This window comes from Homo sapiens, chromosome 8, assembly GCF_000001405.40.
Source record: "Homo sapiens chromosome 8, GRCh38.p14 Primary Assembly".
Classification (NCBI taxonomy): domain Eukaryota; kingdom Metazoa; phylum Chordata; class Mammalia; order Primates; family Hominidae; genus Homo; species Homo sapiens.
Genome location: NC_000008.11, coordinates 63381 through 90472, shown reverse-complemented (window position 1 = coordinate 90472; position 27092 = coordinate 63381). Strand labels below are relative to the sequence as shown.

Sequence of the window (27092 nt, the reverse complement as noted above, 5' to 3'; positions counted from 1 at the left end):
TTTTGTTTCTCTCGGGTACATACCCAGAAGTGCAATTGCTGAGTCATGTGGGAAGCGTGTGCCCAACTTTACAGGAAAACGTCGCAGGCCGCCCCTTCGCTTTGCGCTCCCGCTAATCGGGAATGAGTGCCTGCTGCTCCGCGTTCTTGCGGGCACCCAGCATTTTCCGTGCTTACATTTCAGCCATCCCGGAATGAATGAAAAGGTTTCCTAGTGGCTGTAATTTGCATCTCCCTGGTGGCTGATGGAAGCTTATTTCCCATCCATATCCCTTGCTTGGTGACGCATCTGTTCAAGTCCTTCCCCGGTTTGTAACTGGATTATTTGGTGTTTTTACTGTTGGATTTTGAGAGTTCTTTATGTATTCTAGATACAATTCCTTTGCCAGATATGAGATTCACAAATATTTTCTCCAACTCTATGTCTTGTGTTTTCATTCTCTCAACAGTGACTTTTGCAGCATTCATAGGGATTTTAAGTTTTCTTCTCAAAGTTTTATAAACCACTATATTTAAAATTTTAATTTAAAAACTATAAACCTATTATAGTTTTTAAATTAAACTGTAAACCTCTTATATAGATTTTCTGTTTAAACTTATGATTCCTTTTAAGTTAATTATTATGTAAGTTGTGAGGGTTGGGTCAAGGCATTCCTTTGCTTAAAATCCCCAGCTTTTCATTTCTCTCAGACAGAAGTCTTGACCTGCAGGGTCAGGCTCCCCTGCTCTCTGAGCTCGCCCTCCCCACGCAGCGCTAGCCCCTGGACTATTCTCACCACTCAGGCCTTGGCCTCCATACCCGCTTGGCACCCACCAAAGGGTCGGGGGACCCCTCCACAAGGCAGCGTTCTGTCTGTGAGGTGAAGCGGGAGCAGAGGGCCAGGCAGAGCCAGGCTGGGACCCAATCTCTGCTTCAGGCTGGTCTTTTTTTTTTTTTTTTTTTGAGACGGAGTCTCGCTGTCGCCCAGGCTGGAGTGCAGTGGCGCGATCTCGGCTCACTGCAAGCACCGCCTCCCGGGTTCACGCCATTCTCCTGCCTCAGCCTCGCGCGTAGCTGGGACTACAGGTGCCTGCCACCATGCCTGGCTAATTTTTTGTATTTTTAGTAGAGACGGGGTTTCACCGTGTTAGCCAGGATGGTCTTGATGTCCTGACCTTGTGATCTGCCCGCCTCGGCCTCCCAAAGTGCTGGGATTACAGGCGTGAGCCACCGCACCTGGCCAGGCTGGTCTTTTTTGCCAGAGTTAGTGTTGTATTGAGGGACATGGAGGGAGAAAAGGGGGTCAGTTAGGGGCAAGTTTACTTGTGCAGGTAACCAGGGTGAGGGCTCGAGGGGAGAGGAGAGATAAGGAGGGCAGAGCTCAGCCAAGTTGGCCTGATGACATGACCAGAATGTGATCACTAGATCCCCTGCCTGGAGGCCCAAGTGTGGCCCCAGGTCTGGATAGTTGCAGCCACTGTGGGGAAGCTTCAGTTTGGGAGCCACAGAAACCAAGAATATTGTCTGGGAAGCTGATGTGCAGAGAGGAGAATGGAGCGGATGGAGGTGCGGTGGGGGAGAGAGACAAAGAGACAGAGAGGAGAGTAAAAGCCTGTTGCTGGCTCCACTATGTTGGGCTTGTCAGCCCAGCTTCTTCTTGTCCCATCCATAAAATGGGCTGGTGTCGCCCATCCTGGTTAGGAGGCACAAGGAAGTATTGCGCTGTGTGCTCGGCCCAGCTGACTCAGCAGCTCTCCAACCTTGGGGACTCTCCAGACAGGTGTGTGCAGGTGAGGTGCTGGACCAAGGAAGGGCAGGTGGAGGACATGGCCGAGGGGAGCTCTGTGAGCTGAGCTGCCTGCTTCGAGGGTGCCCTTGAGGCCCAGGACTGACCCCTGGAGGGAGAGGCTTCCTTCCTTCTGTTGGGGCTCAGAAAACAACGCCCCAAAATGAAGTCCTCAGCAGCAGCCTCAGAAGCAAAAGTTGTCTCTGACCTTCTCCTGCCCTCCTGTCTCTCAGTCTCATTCTCCCCGAAGGCGCTGTAGAAACCAGACTCTCTTTTTCCCCAAGGCCGGTCACAGAAATCAGAACCCCTTCTCCCCAAAGCTGGTCAGAAAACCTAAAAATATTACTCAGTGTTCCGTCTACCTTTCTATATAAGAGCTGACTAGAGAGAAATGATCCAATATCCCTTGTTTGACTGTAGGTCATGAGACTGTCATTCCAGAGAGGGCCCTGCCCCACGTCCAGAGAAGAAAATGCTCAGAGACGAAGACAAATCTAGACAGACCTTGCTGGGTTCCCACTCAGTCTATTCACATTAGATCAAGCCCTTTGTGTCCAATCCTTTTTTTAGAGGACTGTTCATACGTTATTAAACCTAAACATAAAAATGGACAATTTCCCCCATCGTTGGGTCTTCGTTCTAAAGGTTCTTATATGTACACATCACATAAATTTGCATACCGTTTCTCCTATTAATCCATCTGTCTCATGTCAGTGACTTCTCAGCAAACCTTTAGGGGCCAAGGGGCCCCACACTCTCCAGCGGCAGGCACAATGGGCCTGGGGTGCAGTTGTGGACACTCGGACCCTCCTTGGAGCTGGTTTAGCTGTGCTGTGTGCTTGTGGGAATGGATTGCCATGATTTCTGGGCTCTAATAAATTGTGCTTCAATCGACTCTTGAGGAGTTAATGAGAGGCCTCACTTCAGACCATAAACACCCTCCCTGTGTGGGATAGAAACACACATCGTCACAGCCAGGAGGTCAGTCGGGTGAGGGTCTGCTTTGCTTACAAGGTCCAGAAACCCAGCAGAAAACCCTCGAGGCCACATCAGTGAAGAGTAACTTATTTCAGCAACATTTCCATGTGTGACACAAGACACACATTTCCTGCATCCACCTTTAAAGTCAAGAAGTTGAAGCTGAATAAAGCCAGCAGGCAGCGAAAATCACCTGCACTCAGTTCAGTTGTGGCAGGAAAGGGAAAGAGCCATGAAGAAAGGAGAGGGGGATGGAGAGGGAGAAAGGAGAGGGGGATGGAGAGGAGAAAGGAGAGGGGGATGGAGAGGGAGAAAGGAGAGGGGGATAGAGAGGAGAAAGGAGAGGGGGCTAGAGAGGAGAAAGGAGAGGGAGATGGAGAGGGAGAAAGGAGAGGGGGATGGAGAGGAGAAAGAAGAGGGGGTGGAGAGGAGAAAGGAGAGGGAGATGGAGAGGGGGATGGAGAGGGGGATGGAGAGGAGAAAGGAGACGGGGATGGAGGGGGGATGGAGAGAAGAAAGGAGAGGAGGGTGGAGAGCGACAGCTGCAGAGGGAGGCAGGGAGGCTGGCTGGGCGTGGACAGCTGCAGAGGGAGGCAGGGGAGGCCGGCTGGGCATGGACGCTGCAGAGGGGACACAGCCACTCTGGGAACAGCAGCCAGTGGCGGATCTGCCTGGAATGCTGTTCCCTCCTGTCCAGGATGGGCCTGTCTCTGCAGACAGGGGCCCTCCCCTTCCTGGCCTGGCTGTGCACTCCCCATGTGCATGGTGGAAGCTCTGCAGAGGCCGTTCTGCTCCAGAGTGGGGCATAGCCTCGGGCGAGGTTCACAGCTTGGGGGGCTGGTCCTGCCCTGTCCCACATGTGGCTGTGTGGGCAGCATGGATCTTCTTCCGCGGTGACCCTGTATGCCCACCCCCCCCAACTTATGCCTGCTTCCCAAGGCCATGGGCCTCACCCTCAGACTTCACTTTTGTGTATATGGAAAGACACAATTATCGGGACAGAAACAGATCAGTATTTGCCAGTGGGTGAGTGAGGGGAGAGGAGTTTACTACCGAGGGGCCGAACTGGGGCCATTTTTGAGGGATGAAAGTCTTCTGTGTGGCTCTACAGAGCTGGGTACGTGATGCTGTGTTTGTCAAACCCCACAGGACTGGACCTCACTGTGGGAACAACAAGATCAACAAGAGGAGCAAGAACAACATCAAGAGTCAGGGCCCGGGGGTCCTGACGGGTACAGGATGGGTACAGACCCACACAGGAATCCCAGAGTGTGTTCCACAGCAGGACACGCCTGCGCTGAAAGAGTGGGCAGAAAGGAGCTGACCTGGGTAAGTCCAAAAACAGTGTTTTGATTAGATTCTGGAAAGAATCAAATAACTCTGCATATCTAAGCACTAAACTCCAATTGGTAAAATTGTTTCCCACAGCAATACATGTTAGCAACTTTGAAACTACTTTTATATATACTAAGGTTTCACAAATAAGTCAATACAGTAGTAAGAGTCAGGGTTCTCACAGCTGGATAAGGAAGTCATGGAAAAGCCAGCGGGGACCCTGAGGTCCATATATAATATATATTATACATATATACAGATCAGAATGGACCCTAAGGTGGTCGGTTATAGACAGATATGCCAGCAGGAACTCATGTTTACATGATACATATATACAGATCAGAATGGACCCTGAGGACCATATATAATATATATTATACATATATACAGATCAGAATGGACCCTAAGGTGGTCGGTTATAGACAGATATGCCAGCAGGAACTCATGTTTACATGATACATATATACAGATCAGAATGGACCCTGAGGTCCATATATAATATATATTATACATATATGCAGATCAGAATGGACCCTGAGGTCCATATATAATATATATTATACATATATACAGATCAGAATGGACCCTGAGGTGGTCAGTTATAGTCAGATATGCCAGCAGGAACTCGTGTTTACATGATACATATATACAGATCAGAATGGACCCTGAGGTGGTCGGTTACAGTCAGATATGCCAGCAGGAACTCGTGTTTACATGATACTTATATACAGATCGGAATGGACCCTGAGGTGGTCAGTTATAGTCAGATATGCCAGTAGGAACTCGTGTTTACATGATACATACATACAGATCAGAATGGACCCTGAGGTGGTCAGTTATAGTCAGATATGCCAGTAGGAACTCATGTTTACATGATACATATATACAGATCAGAATGGACCCTGAGGTGGTCGGTTATAGTCAGATATGCCAGCAGGAACTCGTGTTTACATGATACATATATACAGATCAGAATGGACCCTGAGGTGGTCGGTTACAGTCAGATATGCCAGCAGGAACTCGTGTTTACATGATACTTATATACAGATCGGAATGAACCCTGAGGTGGTCAGTTATAGTCAGATATGCCAGTAGGAAATCATGTTTACATGATACATATATACAGATCAGAATGGACCCTGAGGTGGTTGGTTACAGTCAGATATGCCAGTAGGAAGTCGTGTTTACATGATACATATATACAGATCAGAATGGACCCTGAGGTGGTCAGTTATAGTCAGATATGCCAGCAGGAACTCATGTTTACATAATACATATATACAGATAGGTTAAATATATACACACACACGTGCGTGTGCATACATGGCTTAGCACACACATCTGTAGATCCTGGGTTTGTCCTTTGAGAGGGGACACCCCAGTAGCAGCAAGCACATTCCATGCCCAGATGTTAGTTTCTAAATTTCATCTTCAATAAAAGGAGCCAAGTCTCCCTGGAGAAATGGCTGATAATTGGGATGTGGGAGAGAAAATACAAGATGAACCTGGAGCATCTTGTAGTCCCAGGAAGTAAGAAAATGCTCAAAAATAAAATTTTTAAAAAGCTGTGGGCATTTCAAAAGGGCATGGAACCCAAAATGTAAGAGCTCCCAGTGGCCACAGCTACAATGATTTGAGTGCACACACACTCACACAGACATACACACACACACACACAAATCGGATTATGCCCCAAAGAATAAAATGAATGTCCATGGATTCGTAAGCATATAAATAAATTATTGAATAAATTAAAACTGAAAGGGTAGCTGGGCGAGGTGGCGAGCGCCTGTAGTCCCAGCTACTCGGGAGGCTGAGGCAGGAGAATGGTGTGAGCCCGGGAGGTGGAGCTTGCAGTGAGCCAAGATCACGCCAATGCACTCCAGCTGGGGTGACAGAGCAAGACTCTGTCTCAAAAACAAAACAAAACAAAACAAAACAAAACAAAACAAAAAACTGAAAGGGACAGGCCTTTCTTGGAACAAATTCCAAACAAGAAATGTGGAGTAAATAGGGAAAATCACCATCAGGCTGGGCACAGTGGCTCGTGCCTGTAATCTCAACACTTCGGGAGGCTGAGGCAGGTGGATCACCTGAGGTCAGGAGTTCGAGACCAGCCTAGCCAACATTGTGAAACCCTGTCTCTACAAAAAAATACAAAATTAGCTGGGCCTGGTGACACATGCCTGTAATCTCAGCTACTTGGGAGGCTGAGGCAGGAGAATCGCTTGAACCCGGGAGGTTGCAGTGAGCTGAGATTGTGCCACTGCACTCCAGCCTGGGCAATAAGAGCAAAACTCTGTCTCAAAAAAAAGAAAGAAAGAAAGAAAAGAAAAGAAAAAAAAGAAAATCACCATCAGTGCTGCAGGCAAGCTCCCCTGAGGAATGCTAAAATTCCTGTGCAAAGTTTAAGGAGAAAGAAGATATTTGTATACTGTCAAAGTGTCTCCCCTAAATGTTCAGTAATTACCGCGGTGCCCAAATTCTTTGATGCTCCTTCCTGTAGGAGTTGGAGCTCATGCTGGACTTCATGACTCACTCTTAACCAGCAGGACATGGAGAGGAAAACAGTCACTCTCCCGTGGGGAGACCTGGCAGGCCTCACCTTGGCCGTGTGATCAAGGTCCAGACCACCAGTGATGAGGCATGTTGACATCGTGGCCCCTGAGAGCACGTGATGAGAAGAGCGCCGCCCCCCCCGCCGTGTTCTTCCGCAAACGCACAGTTCCAATGTAATCAGAGAGAACATCACACAAACACCAATTGAGGGGCATCTTGCAAAGTACCTGAGCAGTACTCTGCAAAGCTGTCAAGGCGGTGAAGCGAAGACAGGCCAGGAAAGGGTCACAGGTGCAGGGGACTAAGGAGGCGTGAGGGCCAGTGCAGCCTGGGGTCCTGGACGTGAGCTGCTGAGACGGCACCCGCGTGAGTGTCGCAGTTTCCACACCGTGAGCTGCTGAGACGGCACCCGCGTGAGTGTCGCAGTTTCCACACCGTGAGCTGCTGAGACGGCACCCGCGTGAGTGTCGCAGTTTCCACACCGTGAGCTGCTGAGACGGCACCCGCGTGAGTGTCGCAGTTTCCACACCGTGAGCTGCTGAGACGGCACCCGCGTGAGTGTCGCAGTTTCCACACCGTGAGCTGCTGAGACGGCACCCGCGTGAGTGTCGCAGTTTCCACACCGTGAGCTGCTGAGACGGCACCCGCGTGAGTGTCGCAGTTTCCACACCGTGAGCTGCTGAGACGGCACCCGCGTGAGTGTCGCAGTTTCCACACCGTGAGCTGCTGAGACGGCACCCGCGTGAGTGTCGCAGTTTCCACACCGTGAGCTGCTGAGACGGCACCCGCGTGAGTGTCGCAGTTTCCACACCGTGAGCTGCTGAGACGGCACCCGCGTGAGTGTCGCAGTTTCCACACCGTGAGCTGCTGAGACGGCACCCGCGTGAGTGTCGCAGTTTCCACACCGTGAGCTGCTGAGACGGCACCCGCGTGAGTGTCGCAGTTTCCACACCGTGAGCTGCTGAGACGGCACCCGCGTGAGTGTCGCAGTTTCCACACCGTGAGCTGCTGAGACGGCACCCGCGTGAGTGTCGCAGTTTCCACACCGTGAGCTGCTGAGACGGCACCCGCGTGAGTGTCGCAGTTTCCACACCGTGAGCTGCTGAGACGGCACCCGCGTGAGTGTCGCAGTTTCCACACCGTGAGCTGCTGAGACGGCACCCGCGTGAGTGTCGCAGTTTCCACACCGTGAGCTGCTGAGACGGCACCCGCGTGAGTGTCGCAGTTTCCACACCGTGAGCTGCTGAGACGGCACCCGTGTGAGTGTCGCAGTTTCCACACCGTGAGCTGCTGAGATGGCACCCGTGTGAGTGTCGCAGTTTCCACACCGTGAGCTGCTGAGATGGCACCCGTGTGAGTGTCGCAGTTTCCACACCGTGAGCTGCTGAGATGGCACCCGTGTGAGTGTCGCAGTTTCCACACCGTGAGCTGCTGAGATGGCACCCATGGGAGTGTCGCAGTTTCCACACGTGCCTCATTGCTGTGTAAGATGCTCAAGTGAGAGGAAGCTGGTGAACGGGTCTGTGGGAAGTTGCAGTACTGTCTTTGCAACTCTTCTGGACATCTTTTTTTTTTTTTTTAAATAAAACATTTTTAACATGAAAATATGCAGAGCACGGTGGCTCGCACCTGTAATCCCAGCACTTTGGGAGGCCGAGGCAGGTGGATCATGAGGTCAGGAGTTCAAGACCAGCCTAGCCAACATGGTGAAACCCCGTCTCTACTAAGAATACAAAAATTAGCTGGGCGTGGTGATGGGCATCTGTAATCCCAGCTACTCGGGAGGCTGAGGCAGGAGAATCACTTGAACCCGGGAGGCAGAGGTTGCAGTGAGCCGAGATCGCACCCCTGCACTCCAGCCTGGGTGACAGAGCAAGACTCCATCTCAAAAAAAATAAAGGAAATATGCGTCGTTGGATGCTGTATGACAATCAAGCTACTTATAACAAACAAAATTGAGAATGAAGGTAAATTAAAAATAATTTATAGTCTTTAAAAAGCAGGAACTACAAAATTTACATTTCTGAAAATGGCAGAAAAATCCCACATGGCTGTATATGTATGTGTGAGATTGTATGTGAATGAGCGCATGCATATATTTTTGTGTGTTTGGATTATATGTGTGACGGTGTGCATGAGTGTGTATATGATTTGGGGGTATGTGTGAGTGTGTATGACTGTGTGTATGAGTGTGTATGATTTGTGTGTGTGAGTGTGTACATGTATACACTAGTGTGCGTATGATTTGGGGGTATGAATGTGAATGTGTACATATGTATTTATGATCTGAGTGTGTATGAGTGTGAATGTGAACATGTGTGTGTGAGTGGGTATATGATTTGGGTGTGTGCAAGTATGAATATGTATTGTGTGCATTAATGTGTATATTATTTTGGGCTGTGTATGAGTGTGAATGTGAACATGTGTGCACGAGTGTATATATGATCTGGGTGTGTATGAGTGAGCATGAGTGTGAACATGTGTGCATGAATGTATGATTTGGGTGTGTATGAGTGTGAATGTGTGCACGAGTGTACAATCGGTGTGTATGAGTGAGCATGAATGTGAACATGTGCGCACGAGTGTATATATGATCTGGGTGTGTAGGAGTGAGCATGAATGTGTATGCACAAGTGTGTATATGTGTGTATGATCTGGGTGTGTAGGAGTGTGAATACGAACACGTATGCGCAAGTATGTATATGATCTGTGTATGTATAAGTGAGTGTGAATGTGTGCATAAGTGTGTATGATCTGGGTATGAGTGATTGTGAATGTGAGCATGTGTGCACGAGTGTGTATATGATCTGGGTGTGTGGGAGTGAGCATGAATGTGTATGCACAAGTGTGTGTATGTGTGTATGATCTGGGTGTGTAGGAGTGTGAATATGAACACGTGTGCACAAATGTGTATATGATCCGAGTATGTAGGAGTGAGTGTGAATGTGAACATGTTTGCACGTGTGTATATGATATGGGTGCATGTGTGGGTGTGTTTGTGCAGGTGCACTGGGAGCTTTCAGCATTGAGTCTGTGTGGCATCCAGGCTTTTCTGGATGATGTAGAATCAAACCCCATAATTAATTCCAGTAACTTAGAAATTTTCACTTATGAATACTAAATTCTCCTCACCTAGCAACTGACTGAGCAGGTTGAACAGCACCCTTCGCCGTTCTCCTGCAGAACCCCGTGGAATGGGCCCTGCTTTCTCAGAGTGCTCCTAGCGGTGATGAGGGAGCCCAGCTCATTGCGGTTCGTGCAGAAGGCTGTGTGCCATCTCCGGGACTGCACGGAAAGGCGGAGGCTCAGGCGTGGGATCTGAGCTCAGTGGGCCCTTTAAGGACCGCTGCCTCCTTTCCTCCCTTTGGCACTCAGCATCGACTTACGATGGCTCCCAGTCACAGTCCTTGTCACTGCCTGGCATTACACAGGGCCACAGTCCCTTAACTGAAACACTTGGGACCAGTTGCATTTTGGAATTCGGAATGTTTCTTGATTTCAGAGAGAGAAGAGGGGATGGACTGTTGGGCAGCCCTGATTAACCCTGCAGCGTCTTGGCTCTAGAGGGGCCTACACGGCTGGGAGCGTCTCGGCTCTAGAGAGGGGCCTGCACTGCCGGGAGCATCTCGGCTCTAGAGAGGGGTCTGCACTGCTGGGAAGCCTACACAGCTGGGAGCGTCTCGGCTCTAGAGCCACAGCTGATGCATGGCAACGATGAGCTCTCCTGCTTAGTGCTGATGTGCCTCAGCCCCTAACCCCACTGGTGTCCAGATGAGGACCTTGAGGCTCAGAGAAGCTAGGTCAAGGTGAACACCAGTGTTGAGTTTCAGCCCCAGGTCTACCTGATGCTGCCTCCACATTGACTGAGTTGGCCTGGTCCATTGTGAGGGCAGGTAGAGCCAGGGCCGAGGTGGGGATGCCAAGGTCCCATGCCGCAAAGATGGGTGGGACGGCACAGGAGCCAGTCATCATCCCCAAAGACACAGCTCCAAATACCTCATCCTGAAATCCCAAAGATCAAAATCCCAAAAGTATAAATCTGGAAAAAATAATGTCGATGTTATTTATTTACATTTTTAAAAGGTATGTATTTGAGAAACATAAAAACACAACAGAACATTTCATAGGCCACTTTACACAATAAAATAGGCAACGATAACAGGTATTTTTGCATAAACACTGAGGTAACTAATGACGGTAGCATGGGTGTAGCAGTTATAAGAAGACAGACCATAAAGAAATAAGTCAAAAGAGAAACGTGTACACGTATATCACTACGGTTACTAATTGTGTGCACCTAGCCCTATAGCTGTGGTCATCTGAAATATCAGGGATTTTAGACTTGAGGGATTTTGATCTTTAGGGATTTCAACATTCCACATTATGGTGCTTGGGATTGTGTCTTTCAGGATTATGATCCAAACTCAGCTGGGCCTCCCCTACCTGCCCCAGGATTGTGGAGTGAGAACGTTGCAGCAGGGGAGAACAACGCAGCAAAGCACAGCAGGGGAACCGGAAATGCTCACCCTTTGACAGGGTACTTTTAGTTCTGGGGCCTTATCTTAAGGATATTCCAACATATACAAAAAGATTCATGCACAGAGATATTTACTTTAGTATTATTTACCATAGGAAAAAAGTTGGAAACAATACATTTTATGTTCTGTAAAATGAAAGAACAGTTAAATAAATCATGGCTCTAAGACGACTCCAGGGCTGTGTACGGAAGTTCAGGGACTGAATCAGTTGAGGCTGTTCCACCTGAGCCTAAGGTTCCTCTGCTGTATGTCGGGAATCAGGTGGGGGCCAAGCGAGATCACCACAGTGCAGGCCAGTGTGCAGGGCACAGGTGGGCGCCAGGGAGGGGACGCCGCACAGCCCCATGCTCTCGCCAAAAACGTGCAGCACAATTTGGAAGAAAACATTTCCATCTGTTAATAAAGAGCAACGGCCTCTGGTCATAAGTGACACATGACCCTTTGCCTGAGTCTTTTTAAATTTTTCCATATGTTCCATATTTTCTACACCAAATGTAAGCTACTTTCATAATCACAAAAACTTAATGGAAAGAGGAGGAGGAGGACGGGGGTGGGGAGTAGTAGCCATGGGTTCGAGCCCTTCCTCTCCGCATGACTTGGATAACACGGTATATTCACACAGCTATTTCCCCATCTATGAACTTCTGAGGTGCTTTTATTAGTTGATGTCTGGGACCCCTAGGAGCTCTCTTTATACCTCATGATATCAAATGCCCACCTTTCCAGCTCCTCTTGGCCTCCTGCCCTTCCTGGAGGGAGATGCGCTCCCTGGAGCTGCTGACTAGGTGGAAGCAGACTGGCTCCTTCAGTGGGTAGGCCAGCCTGCCTGTCTCCCTAGCCCAGTCCCACCGTGCTGGCCTCAGTGGTGGAGGCAGGCGTGGAGCCTTGGAGGAACCACTCCTCCCCAGCCGCCACCAACATTTGTGGCACTGAGAAGCACCCGTGCTATTCCGGACAGGGATGGGGTTGGACACCCATGCATAGGGGACCCTACACCCCCAGGCTTGGCTCTGGGCTAAACAGCAGGTGTGGATGTGGGCCTAGGCCTCAGAGAAGCCATCAGCTAGGGCAGAATTCCCATGTGGGCAGGATGTTATTTAGGAATTCCAGGGCTTTCTGTATTCCAGATTTCCTGTATTGTGCATATGTGCGTGCACGTATGTGCCCTCAGCCATGATGTAAAGTGTTTTTCTGGCTGGGGTTGCATCACACAGTTTGGAAGCCACTGCTCTGCAGATTCTGAGGACCACCTCCCTTATTTCTCACCAAATTCCCATTTCTTCTGTTTTTGTTCCACCCAATGCAAAAAGCATACTGCCTTCTCTTCTGCATTGGTGGGCAGCGGGTCCTGCAGCTCAGGTTTCTCCAGCGAGGGCCCTGAACGTGAGCCTGGTGGCGTGAGCAGGGGGCTGACTCCATGTGGGCCAAAGGCAACCTATCCAGCTCTTCAGAATGGCTTTTCTCTCCTCCCTATAAAACATATTTTCTCTCCTCCCTATAAAGCATATTTTTGTATTAGGGTGTTTGTTAAAATGAAAACATGAGATCGTTGATGCATAACGAGAAGCCGTGCCATTACTTCCCAGGCCCTGTGCAAGGTGCAAATTGGCGTGTTAGTGGCTGTTTGCATCTTTTCAGTTCCTTTCATCTTTTCTCCTTATCCTGCCCTTTATATGGTTTCTGCTTTAAGTCAAACATTGTGAGTGGATTGATGGACATATGTGTGTGTGAGCGTGTGTGCACAGATGCATGAGAACTGCAGAGAGAGATGGGAGGTAACCAGGGGGATCACTGTTCTCTTCTTCCCAAACATTAGCGTTAGGCTGTTCCGCTTCTGTTCTTGAGAGGGCACCCACCTTACTGCTTGGGAGCCTGGAAATGGCCCCACTGAAGCAGCTCTGAGGCCCTGGGCACCCTTTTCCTGGTTGTGGCCAGCTGAGTTGTGCATGGTCCTCCCCGTGGGATGTGCTTGGAGCATCTGCTGGTAGCAGAGCCTCAGTTCCTTTCCTGCGTTCTTTCGCTACAGGTGTTAGACCTCCTGCCCACCTGTGACCTGTTTACTGCCAGGGATAGACCTGTGGCCAGTGTGGAAAGCGAGATGCTTTGTCCATACAGCCTGCGGGGCTCAGCCTTCCCGGGGTTGCCCACAGCTAGGCTGGGCCAGGACCCCCAAGCCTGGGAACTTACACCTTTCTCACCTGCTTTCCTAAAGGTGGTTTTCCTTTGTGATCTCTCTCCCTGAACGGCTAAACCACACTCTGAATAGAAAACTGTCTTGAAAACTGCTTTGCACGTACATCTGATAAGGTCCTCTGGAGGGCGACCTCCACTGTCTAGTGGGCGAGGATTGTTCAGCCGCCTTGGCTGAGTCACCGAGCTGCCAAGGGCAGACTGTACCCTGGGCTCACCAGCATGCAAAGATATTTTATTCATTTATTTATTCCATAAATATATATTTATATTATTTATATTTAGAGCCAGTGTATCTCTCTGTTGCTCAGGCTGGAGTGCAGTGGCACTATCTCACTGCAGCCTCAAGCTCCCGGGCTCAAGGAATCCTCCTACTTTGTCCTCCCAAACAAAAATATTTTTAAGGAGCCCACTAGGAGAGTGCTGAGTTTAAAATCTAAGTTCTTGTTTCTTTTTTCTTTTTCACTGATGCATAATAGATGTACATAGTTTCAGGGTACATGTGATAGTTTAATGCATTCATATAATTGTGAAAATCAAATCAGCCTACTTGGAATATCTATCGCCTTAAATATTTGTTTTTGCTTTATGCTAGAACCGTTCCGATTCTTCTCTTCTAGCCATTTTGAAATATACAGTAGGCAATTGCCAACTATGATCTATGTAACACTAGGTCTTATTCCTTCTATCAAACCACGTATTTGTACCCTTCAATCAACTTCTCTTTCTCCCCCTCTCCCCGCTACATTTCCCCACCTCTGGTAACCACGCGTCTACCCTCTGTCTTCACGAGAGCTACTTTTTTAGTAGGTGGGAGAGAACATTCAATGTTTGTCTTTCTGTGCTTGGCTTATTTCACTTAACATAATGATCCCTAGTTCCATCTTGTACAAATAACAGGCTGTCGTTCCTCTGTATGGCTGAATAATATTCCACTGTGTATACACACCACGTTCTGTTTATCCATCATCCGCTGATGAACTCAGAGGCTGATTCCGTATTTTGGCGATTGTGAGTAGTCCCGCAGTAAACATGAGAGTGCAGATGTCTTTACGATATATTGATGTTGTTTCTTTTGACTATAGGCCCAGTTAGTGAAATTACTGGATCATACAGCAGTTTTACTTTTAGGTGTTTTTTTTTTGTTTGTTTGTTTTTTGAGATGGAGTCTTGCTCTGTCACTAGGCTGGTGTGCAGTGGTGTGATCTTGGCTCACTGCAACCTCTGCCTCCCGGGTTCCTGTGTTTAAGCGATTCCCCTGCCTCAGCCTCCCGAGTAGCTGGGATTTATAGGTGCGCACCACCATGCCCAGCTAATTTTTTGTATTTTAGTAGAGACGGGATTTCACCATGTTGGCCAGGATGGTCTCGATCTCCTGACCTTGTGATCCGCCCGCCTCCACCTCCCAAAGTGCTGGGATTACAGGTGTGAGACACCGCGCCCGGCCAACTTTTATTTATTTATTTATTTTTTTAAGGAGGAGTCTTGCTCTGTCACCCAGGCTGGAGTGCAATGGTGCGCTCTCCGCTCACCGCAATCTCCACCTCCTGTGTTCCAGTGATTCTCCTGCCTCAGTCTCCCAAGTAGCTGGGATTACAGGGTCGCACCACCACGCCTGGCTAATTTTTTATATTTTTAGTAGAGATGGGGTTTCATCATGTTGGCCAGGCTGGTCTCAAACTCCTGACCTTGTGATCCCCCTGCTTTGGCCTCCCAAAGTGCTGGGACCACAGGCGTGAGCCACCGTGCCCGGCCCCTTTTGGTTTTTTGAGGAGCCTCCATCTGTTTTCCATAGTGGTTGTACTAATCAACGTTCCCACAACAGTGTGTGAGGGTCCCCCTTTCTCCACATCCTCGCCAGCATCCCTTATTCCCTGCGTTTTTGACGAAAGCCATTTTAACTGAGGTGAGAGAAGACCTCATTGCAGTTTTTTATTTGCGTTTCTCTGATGATTAGTGATGTTGAGCATTTTTTCATGTACCTGCTGGCCATTTGTACATCTTCTTTTGAGAAATGTCTACTCAGGTCTCTTGCCCATTTTAAAATTCGATTAATTGTTTGCTATTGTTTGAGCTCCTGGTTATGAATCCCTTGTCAGGTGGGTAGCTTGCAAGTATTTTCTCCCATTCTGTGGGTTGTCTCTTCAGTTTGTTGACTTTTTCCTTTGGTCTGCAGAGGGTTCTTAGCTTGGTGTGATTTCACTTGTCTGTTTTTGCTTTGGTTGCCTGTGCTTTTGGGGCCCTACTGAAAAAGTCTTTGCTGAGAACAATGTCCTGGAGCACTTCCCTAATGTTTTCTTCCAGTAGTTTTATACTTTCAGGTCTCAGTTTTACCTTTAATCCATTCTGATTTGATTTCTGTGTATGGTAAGAGAGACGGGTCTAGTTTCATTCTTCTGCATATCTTTATCTAGTTTCCCCTGCACCACTTATGGAAGAGACTGTCCTTTCGCTCGTATGTTGTTGGTGCCTTTGCTGAAGATGAGCTGGCTGTAAATGTGTGGATTTATATCTGGGTTCTCTATTCTGTTCCACTGGTCTATGTGTCTGTTTTACGTGATTACCAGGCTGATTACCAGGCTGATAGGTTGGCTCATGCCTGTAATCCCAGTACCTTTGGAGGCCCAGGTGGGAGGATCACTTGAAGCCAGGACTTCAAAACCAGCCTGGGCAACAAAGCAGGACCCCATCTCTACAATGTTTTAAAAAATTATTTGGTGCAGTGGCATACACCTGTAGTCCCAACTACGCAGGAGGCTGAGGTGGGAGGATCCTTTGAGCCTAGGAGTTTGAGGCTGCTCTGAGCTGTGATTGTGCTACTGCACTCCAGCCTGGTTGACAGAGCAAGGCCCTGTCTCTTAAAAAAAAAAAAAACTATTGCAAGAGGAGAGAGAGAGACTGAATTCAACTCTCAATACAACAGAGACAAGTGGGGATAGCCAATGAGCAGGGTGAGGGAGGTGATGAAAAGTTGTTGAAAGGAGCTTGGTTAGTTAGCAAGGGTGGGGAAGATTCTCACTAAGGACCTTAGCAGCATTCCTTGCTAGCACTGAGCTCAGCAGGCCAAGGATGAGGCTTCATCAAGGAGAAGGCTCAAAGGAGCCTGAGTGGAGTTTGGTCAAGGAGAGCGTCTTTGTCATCCTTGCAATGACTCATTTTATAGGTAATTAAGTAGGGGGTTCAGACAGGTCAAAGACTTACCAAAAAGAGGAAATTGTGTCCATGTGGCTGGTGGCTCACCCCAGGAACTGACAGTGGCTTACTCTCAGAAACTCAGAGTGTGCGTGTCTCTTTGAATCCGTATCTGTGTGTGGGTGGGTGTGTCTGTCTGTGTGCGTGCCTCAGTCTCTTCTGAATTTCTCTCCCAATCCCCGTCTCTCTTTCCTCGGGTCGGTGTTTCCCTCCTGCTGGCCTCTGGCCAGCTATTTCTGGAAGTGTCAGCTGCTCTGTCTTCCTGCCCCTGTCTCCACCATCACGTCTGTGTCTGACTCCCTTTCTTTCCCATACAAAACCCCTAATGCAAGTCCTACTGTTTCTGTAACTGGCCACTGCCTATAACAAATCTTTGCTTAGGTTGTGTTTCTTTGTAGAATAGACTGATGTACTGTGTGCTTGATTTTTACAAGATGAGCACAATACCTTATCTTTCTTCTTTATTAAAAAAAAGGAAAAATCCAAACACAATATCTCGTCATGGACTGTGCCCCGCTCGAGCCTCTCCACATGCAGCCGGAAGGAAAGTGGAGGGAGCTGCTCCTTTCCGTAGCCGGGGTGCCCACCCCAACCAGGCTGCCTCTGCCACCCAAGACAGAGGTTCTCTGATAATAATTTATGGGGATTGTTTCCAGAGACCACACCTGAAGCTGCCAACTCCCCGGAGGGAAGGTCCTGATTAATGGCCGATGAATTTCTCCTTAAGGCCCTGAAACTGCCTACTCAGAACCAAGCCAGTTTTTCCTGCCTGTCCTGTTTGGGCAGGCAGAGGAGGCAGCTAGAAACCCATTATGCAGGGGATGGGGGTAAGTGGAGGAGGGAGGGGTCGGGGGAGGAGTGGGGAGGAGGAGGAGGGAAACAGGAGACCCCAGGCTTTGGCTATGATGGGGTCAGCCTTTCTACACCATTCCGGGATGCTGGTGTCCACCACTGCTGCCTGGGCACGGGGAACAGAGAATCTGCCTGGTGGGAGCAGACAAGAGGTTCGAGGACCAGAGCTCATCCTCTTCGGTGTGTGCCTGGGAGGAGGTGTAGGTGCAGCCAGTGGGGTATGATTAAAAAGAAGGGACGCGAGTTTAGGGGACAGCCGCCCACGTGCACCAGCTCTCCGTGTGCCAAAATCTTGCCTGTCAGGGACCAGGATCCCACTTCACAGTTAGCAAATAGCAGCTCAGGGACATTAAGCAACTCGCCCAGCATCCCACCAGCAGACAGTCTCACCTTCAGGGTCGTCTGTGTCTGTTAAAGTCGAGTCTAGTTTCGGGTCTCAGAGCACCTCCCTAAAGCTGCCGTAAACCAAGAATAAAATTCTAAGCCCCACAGCCGATCGCGTGGACCCCGCCTCTGGGCCAAAGGGATTCCAGAGAAACCTGAAGAACTAGTTCAGGCCGTGATGAGGAGGAGTGGGGGCTGGACAGGCCTCATTGTACCCTCCTCCCTTTGGAATTTGGGCAGAACTGACCAGAACCAACATTAAAACAGAGATCTGAAGACTGACAAGGCTCTCTAGCAATAAGATACCAAATTCCAACCTGACTCCAGTGCAGCATCACATGACAGACAGAGGCCATGAAATCAATATTTTACCTCAAAATATATTTCTTTGACATACTTTGAAATGGCCCTGCCAAGCTGTCTCTTGTGGGGGACATTTACATTCTGTAGAGAATCCCTTCCCTTTCCAGGTCTTTCTCTGATCCTGAAGACATTGGCTGAGAGCCTAGCACCTTCTATGGGTCTGAACAGGAAACATTTGCCATCTATTGTCTCTAAGGGTGGCCACCTATGAAACTTCATCTACATAATAAGAACCTTGGTCTGCACAGTCTCTTATCTTAACCCAGACTCTCCTTTCTATTGATAGCAGGTCTGTAGATAATAATTCTTTCAACCAATTGAGAATCAGAAAATCTTTGAATCTATCTATGACCTGTAAACCCCATTACTTTGAATTTTCCTCCTTCCAGACCAAACCAATGCACAACTCCTACGTACTGATGGTGGTCTTACGTTTCCCTAAGTTTCTGCCGACTAAACTGTGCACACGTTCTCAGGACCTCCTGAAGCTGCGTCACAGGCGCTGATCAAAGAACACAACCAAGGTGAGTGTCAATCATTTCAAGAAATCTGTTTGCAAGGTTAAGGACACACCTGAGAAAAGAACAGAGAACCACAGGAAAAACTGTGGTCCGTGCTTTTCCCAAAGGTTGTCTGGGGACCTCAGTAAGTAAAGGGGAAAAGTGCGGGTATTGGGGAAAGGGGAAGAAGTGGAAAAAATGGGTGTGGGTAAATCAGAGGCAAATGGTTGCATTCTTCTGTCTTTGGTCAGCGTTCACTGAATACACATTTTGCATGCGATGGAGGTAGAGGCAGGGATGTAGCTTTTTTGTCTTTGTGTAATAGCTATCTTATTTAGGAACCAGATGGGAAGCAGGTTTGCATAAACCAGTTCCCAGCTTGGCTTTTCCCTTTGGCTTAGTGAGTCTGGGGTCCCAGGATTTATTTTCCATTCTCACAGGTTGTGGTCCTCACATTTGGCTCAAAATATTCAAATTTTTTCCAGAGTTTGGCCTTTTCTTCAGCACTGGGAATTGTGATCCAAAGCTTTTCCTGATGAAGCACAAAGTTGGAGAAAAAAAAGCAAACTAAACAACAACAATGAAACAGAACAGAGTTAATCTGCTGTAGCTCAAGAGAGGACGTAGCTGCCCCCACTCCGCATCCCTGGGCTCGGGTTTGCCTTGCTGACCTCTGCTGCCACCTGGTGCCACACAGAGAAACTGAGGAGAAACCACATCAGTCTCCTTCAGCCTCAGCTTCACATCTGTGGGTCAAGTAACCCTTTCAGAAGCTGAATAATGTGGGAAAGCTTTCCTCTCAGGAAAATGCACACATCCAACTTTGAGAAGATGCCCTTGGGGGTGCTTCAAGGATCCTAGATAAAGAACCCCCTTTCCCGAACATCCAAGAACCTAAGTTTTTTTTTTTTTTTTTGAGAAAGTCTCGCTCTCTCTCCCAGTCTGGAGTGCAGTGGCGTGATCTTGGCTCACTGCAAGCTCCACCTCCCAGGTTCACGCCATTCTCCTGCCTCAGCCTCCCGAGTAGCTGGGGCTACAGGCACCTGCCACCAAACCCGGCTAATTTTTTTGTATTTTTAGTAGAGACGGGGTTTCACCGTGTTAGCCAGGATCGTCTTGATCTCCTGACCTTGTGATCCACCCGCCTCGGCCTCCCAAATTGCTGGGATTACAGATGTGAGCCACCGCACCTGGTCCAAGAACCCAAGTTTTAGATCTAGAGTGATGTCAGCATGACATTGATTTCCTGAGGCCCAGGGGCGAAGGAGCTGAGGACAGCAGAGGGGTGAAGGAACTCAGCTACAGACAGCAGCAGCTGATGCACAGGGCTCCCAGCGCCTGAAGTCACCCGGAATTGGGAAGTGCTCAGAAGCTTACAAAGCTGCCTCGAGGTGGGAACATGACATAAATCCAAGAGCAGATCCCTGATCCTATAAAAATGTACTAGATGCAGTGGGGGCATTTTAAATGAGCAGAGAAGGACAGACAGATAAACAGAAGGACAAACAGTATTGGGATTGGGATAAATGCTCAGCTTTTGCCCAAATCTTAGTGACTTAAGCATCACTTATTTGCTCACGATTCTGTGGCTGGACCATTTGGTTTGGCTCACAGGGCAGGGACTGTGCTGGTCTTACCTGAGCAGACCTGCATGTCTGCGGTCAACTGGGTTGGCAGAGACAGAGTGACTGTCTTCCTCCAGGAAGCAGCAGGTTAACTGGTTGGCAGAGACAGAGGGACAGAGGGACTGTCTTCCTCCAGGAAGCAGCAGGTTAACTGGTTGGCAGAGACAGAGGGACAGAGGGACTGTCTTCCTCCAGGAAGCAGCAGGTTAACTGGTTGGCAGAGACAGAGGGACTGAGGGACTGTCTTCCTCCAGGAAGCAGCAGGTTAACTGGTTGGCAGAGACAGAGGGACAGAGGGACTGTCTTCCTCCAGGAAGCAGCAGGTTAACTGGTTGGCAGAGACAGAGGGACTGAGGGACTGTCTTCCTCCAGGAAGCAGCAGGTTAACTGGTTGGCAGAGACAGAGGGACAGAGGGACTGTCTTCCTCCAGGAAGCAGCAGGTTAACTGGTTGGCAGAGACAGAGGGACTGAGGGACTGTCTTCCTCCAGGAAGCAGCAGGTTAACTGGTTGGCAGAGACAGAGGGACTGAGGGACTGTCTCCCCCCAGGAAGCAGCAGGTTGGCTCTGTTTCCTTCGTGGGGCAGCTGGTCTCCAGGGCAGCAAGAGAGACCAAGCCCCAGTGCACATTCTACAGCCTCTGTGCACATCAGACTTGTTAATATCCCATTGGCCAGTGTAAGTCACATGGCCAAGCCCAGATTAAGGAGTGGAAAGATGGAGGCTATCTCCTCCTGGGAGAGGAGGCCAAGGAGGTGGGAGTATTATGTGGCCACTTATGTTTGCAATCTACCATACTTAGCACTTTGAGAAAAGAATTAACTGAGAAACTTGCTTCAAATAGGGCATTCAGTAAAATGAAGCCCCAATTGAAGTAAAATGCATATATAAAAAATGAAACTGTGACCGATTTTAAGGACAGTATTGGCAAATATTTCTGTGCTCTTGGAGGAGAAGACCCTTATTGGCATGACATGTCAGAAACCACAATGAAAGAATTATTTTAACTTGCATTCATAAAAATTAAAATTATTCATTAAAAACATCGTGAATGAAATTAAAAGTCAAAATGTAAGCCAGAAAATTATTTACAATGTATGTGTCAGGAAAAGACAATACCCTTCAAACTTTGAGAGTTTACATCAGAAAGAAAACAGCAAATGACATGATCCAAACTTGATAAAGGACATGAAAAAGAGCCAGCACTTAGTATGTTTTCTGAATGAATAAGTAGCCAACAGCACATGAAAATGCGTGTAATCCATTTGTAAGCAGAGAAATGCAAACTAAAACAGTAAAGTGTCATTTTCATTTCCTGGATTGGCAAAGGGTTTTATGTATTTTACTGATAGTGCTCAATATTAGCAGTAAACAACAAATGGTGAGTAAATATGAGCTTCGGAACCTCAGGGAAATGATCTCCTTATTTCAACCTGTAGATTCCTTCCTACAACCAGTGTCTACAGAGCACCTACTATGTGCCAGGCACAGCCTAAGTCCTGAAGGTGTAGTCTCCACTGAGAAGGTGATATTTGCACAAAGACCTGAAAGACAGGAGTGAACTGTGTGGATAACTGTGGGTACCCCTACAGGCAGAGGAGTAGCAATGTGGGTCCCAAGGTGGGACCACATCAGACATGTTCGAGGACTAGCTGAGGGAGAGAGGTGGGAGGTCAGAGGAGATGGGGGCCGGCTCTGCTGGCCGTCACGAGCACTCTGGGTGCAGAGGGCGAGAGGTGGGAGGTCAGAGGAGATGGGGGCCGGCTTTGCTGGCCAACACGAGCACTCTGGGTGCTGAGGGCGAGAGGTGGGAGGTCAGAGGAGATGGGGGCTGGCTCTGCTGGCCGTCACGAGCACTCTGGGTGCTGAGGGCAAGAGGTGGGGAGGAGGTCAGAGGAGATGGGGGCTGGCTCTGCCGGCCAACACGAGCACTCTGGGTTTTCCTCCAAATGCTATGAGAGTAGAGGAGTAACCTGGTCTGACTTGGGTGTGAGCAGATCTCTCTGGTTGTTGTTCTGGAAAAAACTGAGGTGCCCACGTGAAAGCAGAGATCGGTTAGGAGGCTGCTGCAGCAATTCAGGCAAAAATGGGTGGCGGGCCTCGGGTGTAGTGGAGGAGAAGCGATCGGATTTTGGATATTTGTAGCTCCCCCAATACGATTTCCTGGAGAAGGAGATGACTTCAATCTTCTGGCCTGAGTAGCTGAAAGGATGAAGCTGTCCTTCGTGGAGGTGGGGAATCCACAGAGAAGCGGGTAGGGAGAGAGTATCAGGAGCTCAGTGTTAGCCATGGATGTTCGAGGGGAGGTATTGAGCAGCTGATAGAGACACAGGCCTGTGGTCCCAGGAAAAGGTCTGGGGGTCACTAGCCCATGGATGGAGTCACAGGCTGCATAGACTGCAGGAAAGCGAAGGTGGAGAGAGAAGAGCAGAGTACCAGGATGGACCATTGAGCACCCTGGTGTTGAGAGCAAGTGGCCTCTAGTCAGAGTTGGGTCAGGGCCACTGTGAGTGGGCTGCCCCCAACATGAGTCGGCTGTCTAGGACTAGTTTATCTCTGCTTCTCACTTTACTGGTATTATGGGGCAGCTCCTGCTGTCTTCCAATTTGGTGTTTGTAAAATGAGACATAAAAAGCAGGTGACAAGGATACCAGGAAGTGCACAGGTCTGAGTGGAGTATGGGGCTGTCTCCAGGGGAGAGGTGGCTGTTTGGAGGGAAGGGTGACAATGGATAATCAGGGTCCATGGGCATCCCTGCTTGTTTTGGAGCCATGGACACTCAAATAACGTGATTTTATGAGGCTATTGGAGAAAAAATTGGCCACAGGGCCAAGAGGGCTGGGAGGACCCCAGCTCTCCGACTGGTGTTTGCTTCTCTGCCATCAGGGTCGGGAGGCCATGCCAAGCATTGTGATTTGCAGAGTCCATGAGACAGGAACACTCCCACCACAGTGACCTGCCTCTGCACACAGCCAGAATGTAGCTGACTCCTTTCTTCTCCCACTTGCATGCTTCCAAGCCTTCAAAACATACTCATCTCCATGTTCTGTGAATTAGCAATTTTTAAAAAAATAAAAAAATAAACAAACTCATCTCTGAAGGTCCAGGTGATTTTTATGTTTTACAGAAAGTTTTGTGAAGAGATGACAGAAAGGGTTATATCACATCCACACAGCAATAACTCCTCAAAAGCAACTTTTGGCCGGGTGTGGTGGCTCATGCCTGCAATCCCAGCACTTTCAGGGGCCGAGGCGGGAGGATCGCTTGTGCTTAGGAGTTTGAGACTAGCCTGGGCAACATAGCAAGTCCCTGTCTCTACTTAAAAAAGAAAAAAAAAATGAGCCAGATGTGGTGGCACGCAGCTGTAGTCCCAGCTACATGGAAGACTGAGGTGGTAGGATCACTTGAGCCAGGAGGTTGAGGCTACAGTGAGCCATGATCACACCACTGCACTCCACCCTGGGTGACAGAGTGAGACCCTGTCTCAAACTTTTTTAAAAGGCCAGGCATGGTGGCTCATACCCATAATCCCAGTACTTTGGGAGGCCAAGGTGGGTGGATCACTTGAGCCCAGGAATTTGAGACCAGCCTGGGCAACATGGTGAAACCCCATCTCTACTAAAAGTCAAAAAAATTAGGTAGGTGTGGTGGTATACATTTGTAGTCTTGGCTCCTTGGAAGGCTGATGTGGGAGGATTGCTTAAGCCTAGGAGGTCGAGGCTACAGTGAGCCATGATTGCACCGTTGCATTCCAGCCTGGGCAAGAGTGAAACCCTGTCTCTCTCTGTCTCTGTCTGTCTCTCTCTCTCTCTGTCTCTTTCTCTCTCTCTGTGTCTCTCTCTCTCTCTCTCACACACACACACACACAACTTATAAGCATCTCTTGTTTCTCCTAAAATTACCCTTCTAGCATTAGCTGTCCCATTAAAATTCTAATAGGCTTTTTTGTGGACATCTGCAAATTAATTATAAAATTTATATGGAAATGCAAAGGGCCAAGTAAGGGCCCTTAAAAGGGACAAAAATGGGAGAAATTACTAGATACCATGGCTCACCATAAAAGCTGCCTTGATTAAGACAGTGTGGCAGTGGTCAGCAAACAGTGGTCTGTCCCTGGGCCAACTCTGCCCACCATCTGTTTCTGTATGGCCCATGAAGCAAGAATGATTTTTACATTTTTAAATGGTTGAAAATAATTGATTGGTGGGGACAATGCTGGTGGAGTCTGAAGTTGTCATGCAGTGACTCACTCAAGGTTAGGCAGATTTGGTGATATATGACACAGAGATGCAAAGAAATGCTGTAGCTGACACACACAGGGTGGCTCTGGGAGATGCAGAAGGAGCATGTCACCCAAAATAGAGCCAGATAGACATCTTTAAGGAAGGAGCAAAGGGGCTGCATCTTAAAGAATGAAGAAGGGATTTGTCATGAGAGATGGGGCAGGAAGTTCTTGAGAGGCAGAGGGAGAGCATCAGAATGCTGGGAAGGGAGGAGAGATTCTCACACATCTGGGAAGCTGACAATTCATCAGCATGTCCGGAAGGAAAATAAGGAGGAGGAGCAGAAATAGATGAGGCTGGATATAGAAGCAGGGCTGAAGCTGTGTTGATCGTGGTAAAGAGTTGTGATTCTATCCAGAAGGCAATAGGTAGCATTCTAAACAGAGATCTCTTAAAACAAGAGTCAGCAAATATTTTCTGCAAAGGGCTAAATGTTAAATATTTTAAGTTTTCCAAGCCATATGGTCTCTCTCTTAATGACTCAGGTCTTCCATTATACCATGAAAGTAACCAGAGACGTTATATAACACATGTATTGGCTGTGTCCCATTACAACTTTACTTACAAACGCAGACTGTGTCAGACCTGGTCCATGCATGGTAGTTTGCCACACCCTGTTTTAGAAAGCTCAGGTTTATGATGTGATGGAGAATGCCTACAAGAGCTCTTGTTTTAAATGGTAGAGTGAATATACACTGGAATTCTATCCTGCTTGACCCAAGCTCTTGATAGCGAAAGGTAGAAAAGATAGATAGTAAATAGATAGATAGATGATAGGCAGGTAGATAGATAGATGATAGATAAAGAAAATACATAGCTGTTCCAGAAAACAGAAATGGATAATTTCATGAACCAAAAGCAGAGTAATATACTTTAGAAAGGAAGCAGGCTGGAAGACCCACAGTTGCAAAGCAAATAGAATTTCCAACTGCCTCTTGTAGCCCCTTCCTGGAAGTAGTCACAGCCCAGGGTGTTCAACTTCTTCCTCTGTTTTTTGTTTGTTTGTTGTTTGCTTTTCTGTGGGGTTTTTGTTGTTGTTGTTTGCTTTTTAAAAAAAATCCCTTTCCCTGCTTTTTTGTCACAGCAGCCTTTGTCACTTCAAACACCGCAAGTGTTCTTTAAAAAAAATTATATCAACCTTTCAACTAAAATGCAACATGTCTGAAACTTGGTATCTGGAGAGGTGAGAGGGACAAAGGAGCCGTTGTTACTGCACGTTTTCATTCTCCAAACTTCACCTTGCACACAGTAACAGACAATGCACAAAGCTACTTCCTTATGGACGGAAATTCTGAAATCCTTTTATGCCTGGCCTTTCCATCCTTCAACTTCCCCTCTCCCATGCTGTGAGTGATTGTATTGGACATTTTTGTTTTAATCTCAGTGACAGGGGAACACAGATAGCTCTAATATAGCTGTGACCCAGATGCTTCTGTTTCTAGCATGTATTAATTTTGCAGCAAACATTACATCCATAATTTTTCACTGTCCTTTGAAAATAATTAGGCAATATCTCATCTGAGGTAGGATGTTTCTAGGGGTTGTGTTCTGAGTGAGAAAAACTAATCTGTTCTCTTTCCACTGCATTCTAGGAACAGTAAGAGGACCTTGTGCATGAATAATTTGTTTCCACACTGCAGAGTGGGTAATAAGCAGATTAGTAAAAACAATTCTGCTTCACTTCAATAACAGCCTCCTCCAACTCATTTTTTCTCAACAAACTTATTTTTGCAGCAGAAGAATCCCAGACTTCTTAGAGAACCCAGTGACTTTTTGCACCTTAAATCTGTGAAATCCTCATGCTTTCTTCTGCCGTATCCATCGTTCAAACAAACATGAGGCAAAGCTAGACACATTCCTGAAGGAACCCAAGAAATTCCTCTCTTTCTCTCTCTGGAATGAAATGAATTCTCTAGACCACCAGTTCTAACCTTCAAAAACCAAACCTGTTTGTGAGATCTCCTTCAAATACTACTGTAGACCCCAGTGTTTATTCATTAAATTTTTTAAATATTTGTTTTATTTGGAATCAAAGTATTTGTAATTTTAGTATTTGTATTAATATAAGGGAGAAATGTTTAAATCTGTCTATGCCACATGTGCCTTCGGCTTATTGCCCAATTAATTGTAGCCTCAGGCTAAACTTTGGTTTCTGTCTTTAATTTTTGTCGGAAGAAATATAACTGGTCTCAAAACATCTGCTTTTATTGTAGGGACTCGTGCTGCCATCTCCATTCCTCTCTCTTTTCTTGCAATCTGGGTGGAAGTTCTTTAATATGAACATTTCAACCACCTTCACTCTACCATGTCCACTATCAGCACATTCAAACGTATCCAGCCAAGGGTATCATCTTAGGCCAGGGATTTTTTAGGAATCTATTTTGCTGTGATGCACCTGGTACCCCTTTGACTCACTTTATCACCCCAGGGTTCTTTTCATTTTAGAAGCCCAAGAGGGCAGAAAAAGAAGTAGGTGAGCAATTAAACTCTCCAAGTCAGGAGCGTCTCCCCTTGTGTTAAGCAATGTTG

General features: G+C 47.8%; 1 long non-coding RNA gene across 1 annotated transcript in view; it reads left to right on the top strand.

The window, feature by feature from the left end:
* The window catches only part of LOC101927506 (uncharacterized), a 49390-nt gene extending 22630 nt beyond the window's left edge, over positions 1 to 26760 (top strand). Inside the window, exons 3-8 of the long non-coding RNA NR_168395.1 lie at positions 3893 to 4072; positions 11047 to 11174; positions 18546 to 18680; positions 19142 to 20047; positions 26156 to 26204; positions 26298 to 26760. This is a non-coding gene — a long non-coding RNA (uncharacterized LOC101927506). The remainder of the gene's footprint in view (positions 1 to 3892; positions 4073 to 11046; positions 11175 to 18545; positions 18681 to 19141; positions 20048 to 26155; positions 26205 to 26297) is intronic.
* Positions 26761 to 27092: the final 332 nt, after the last annotated feature.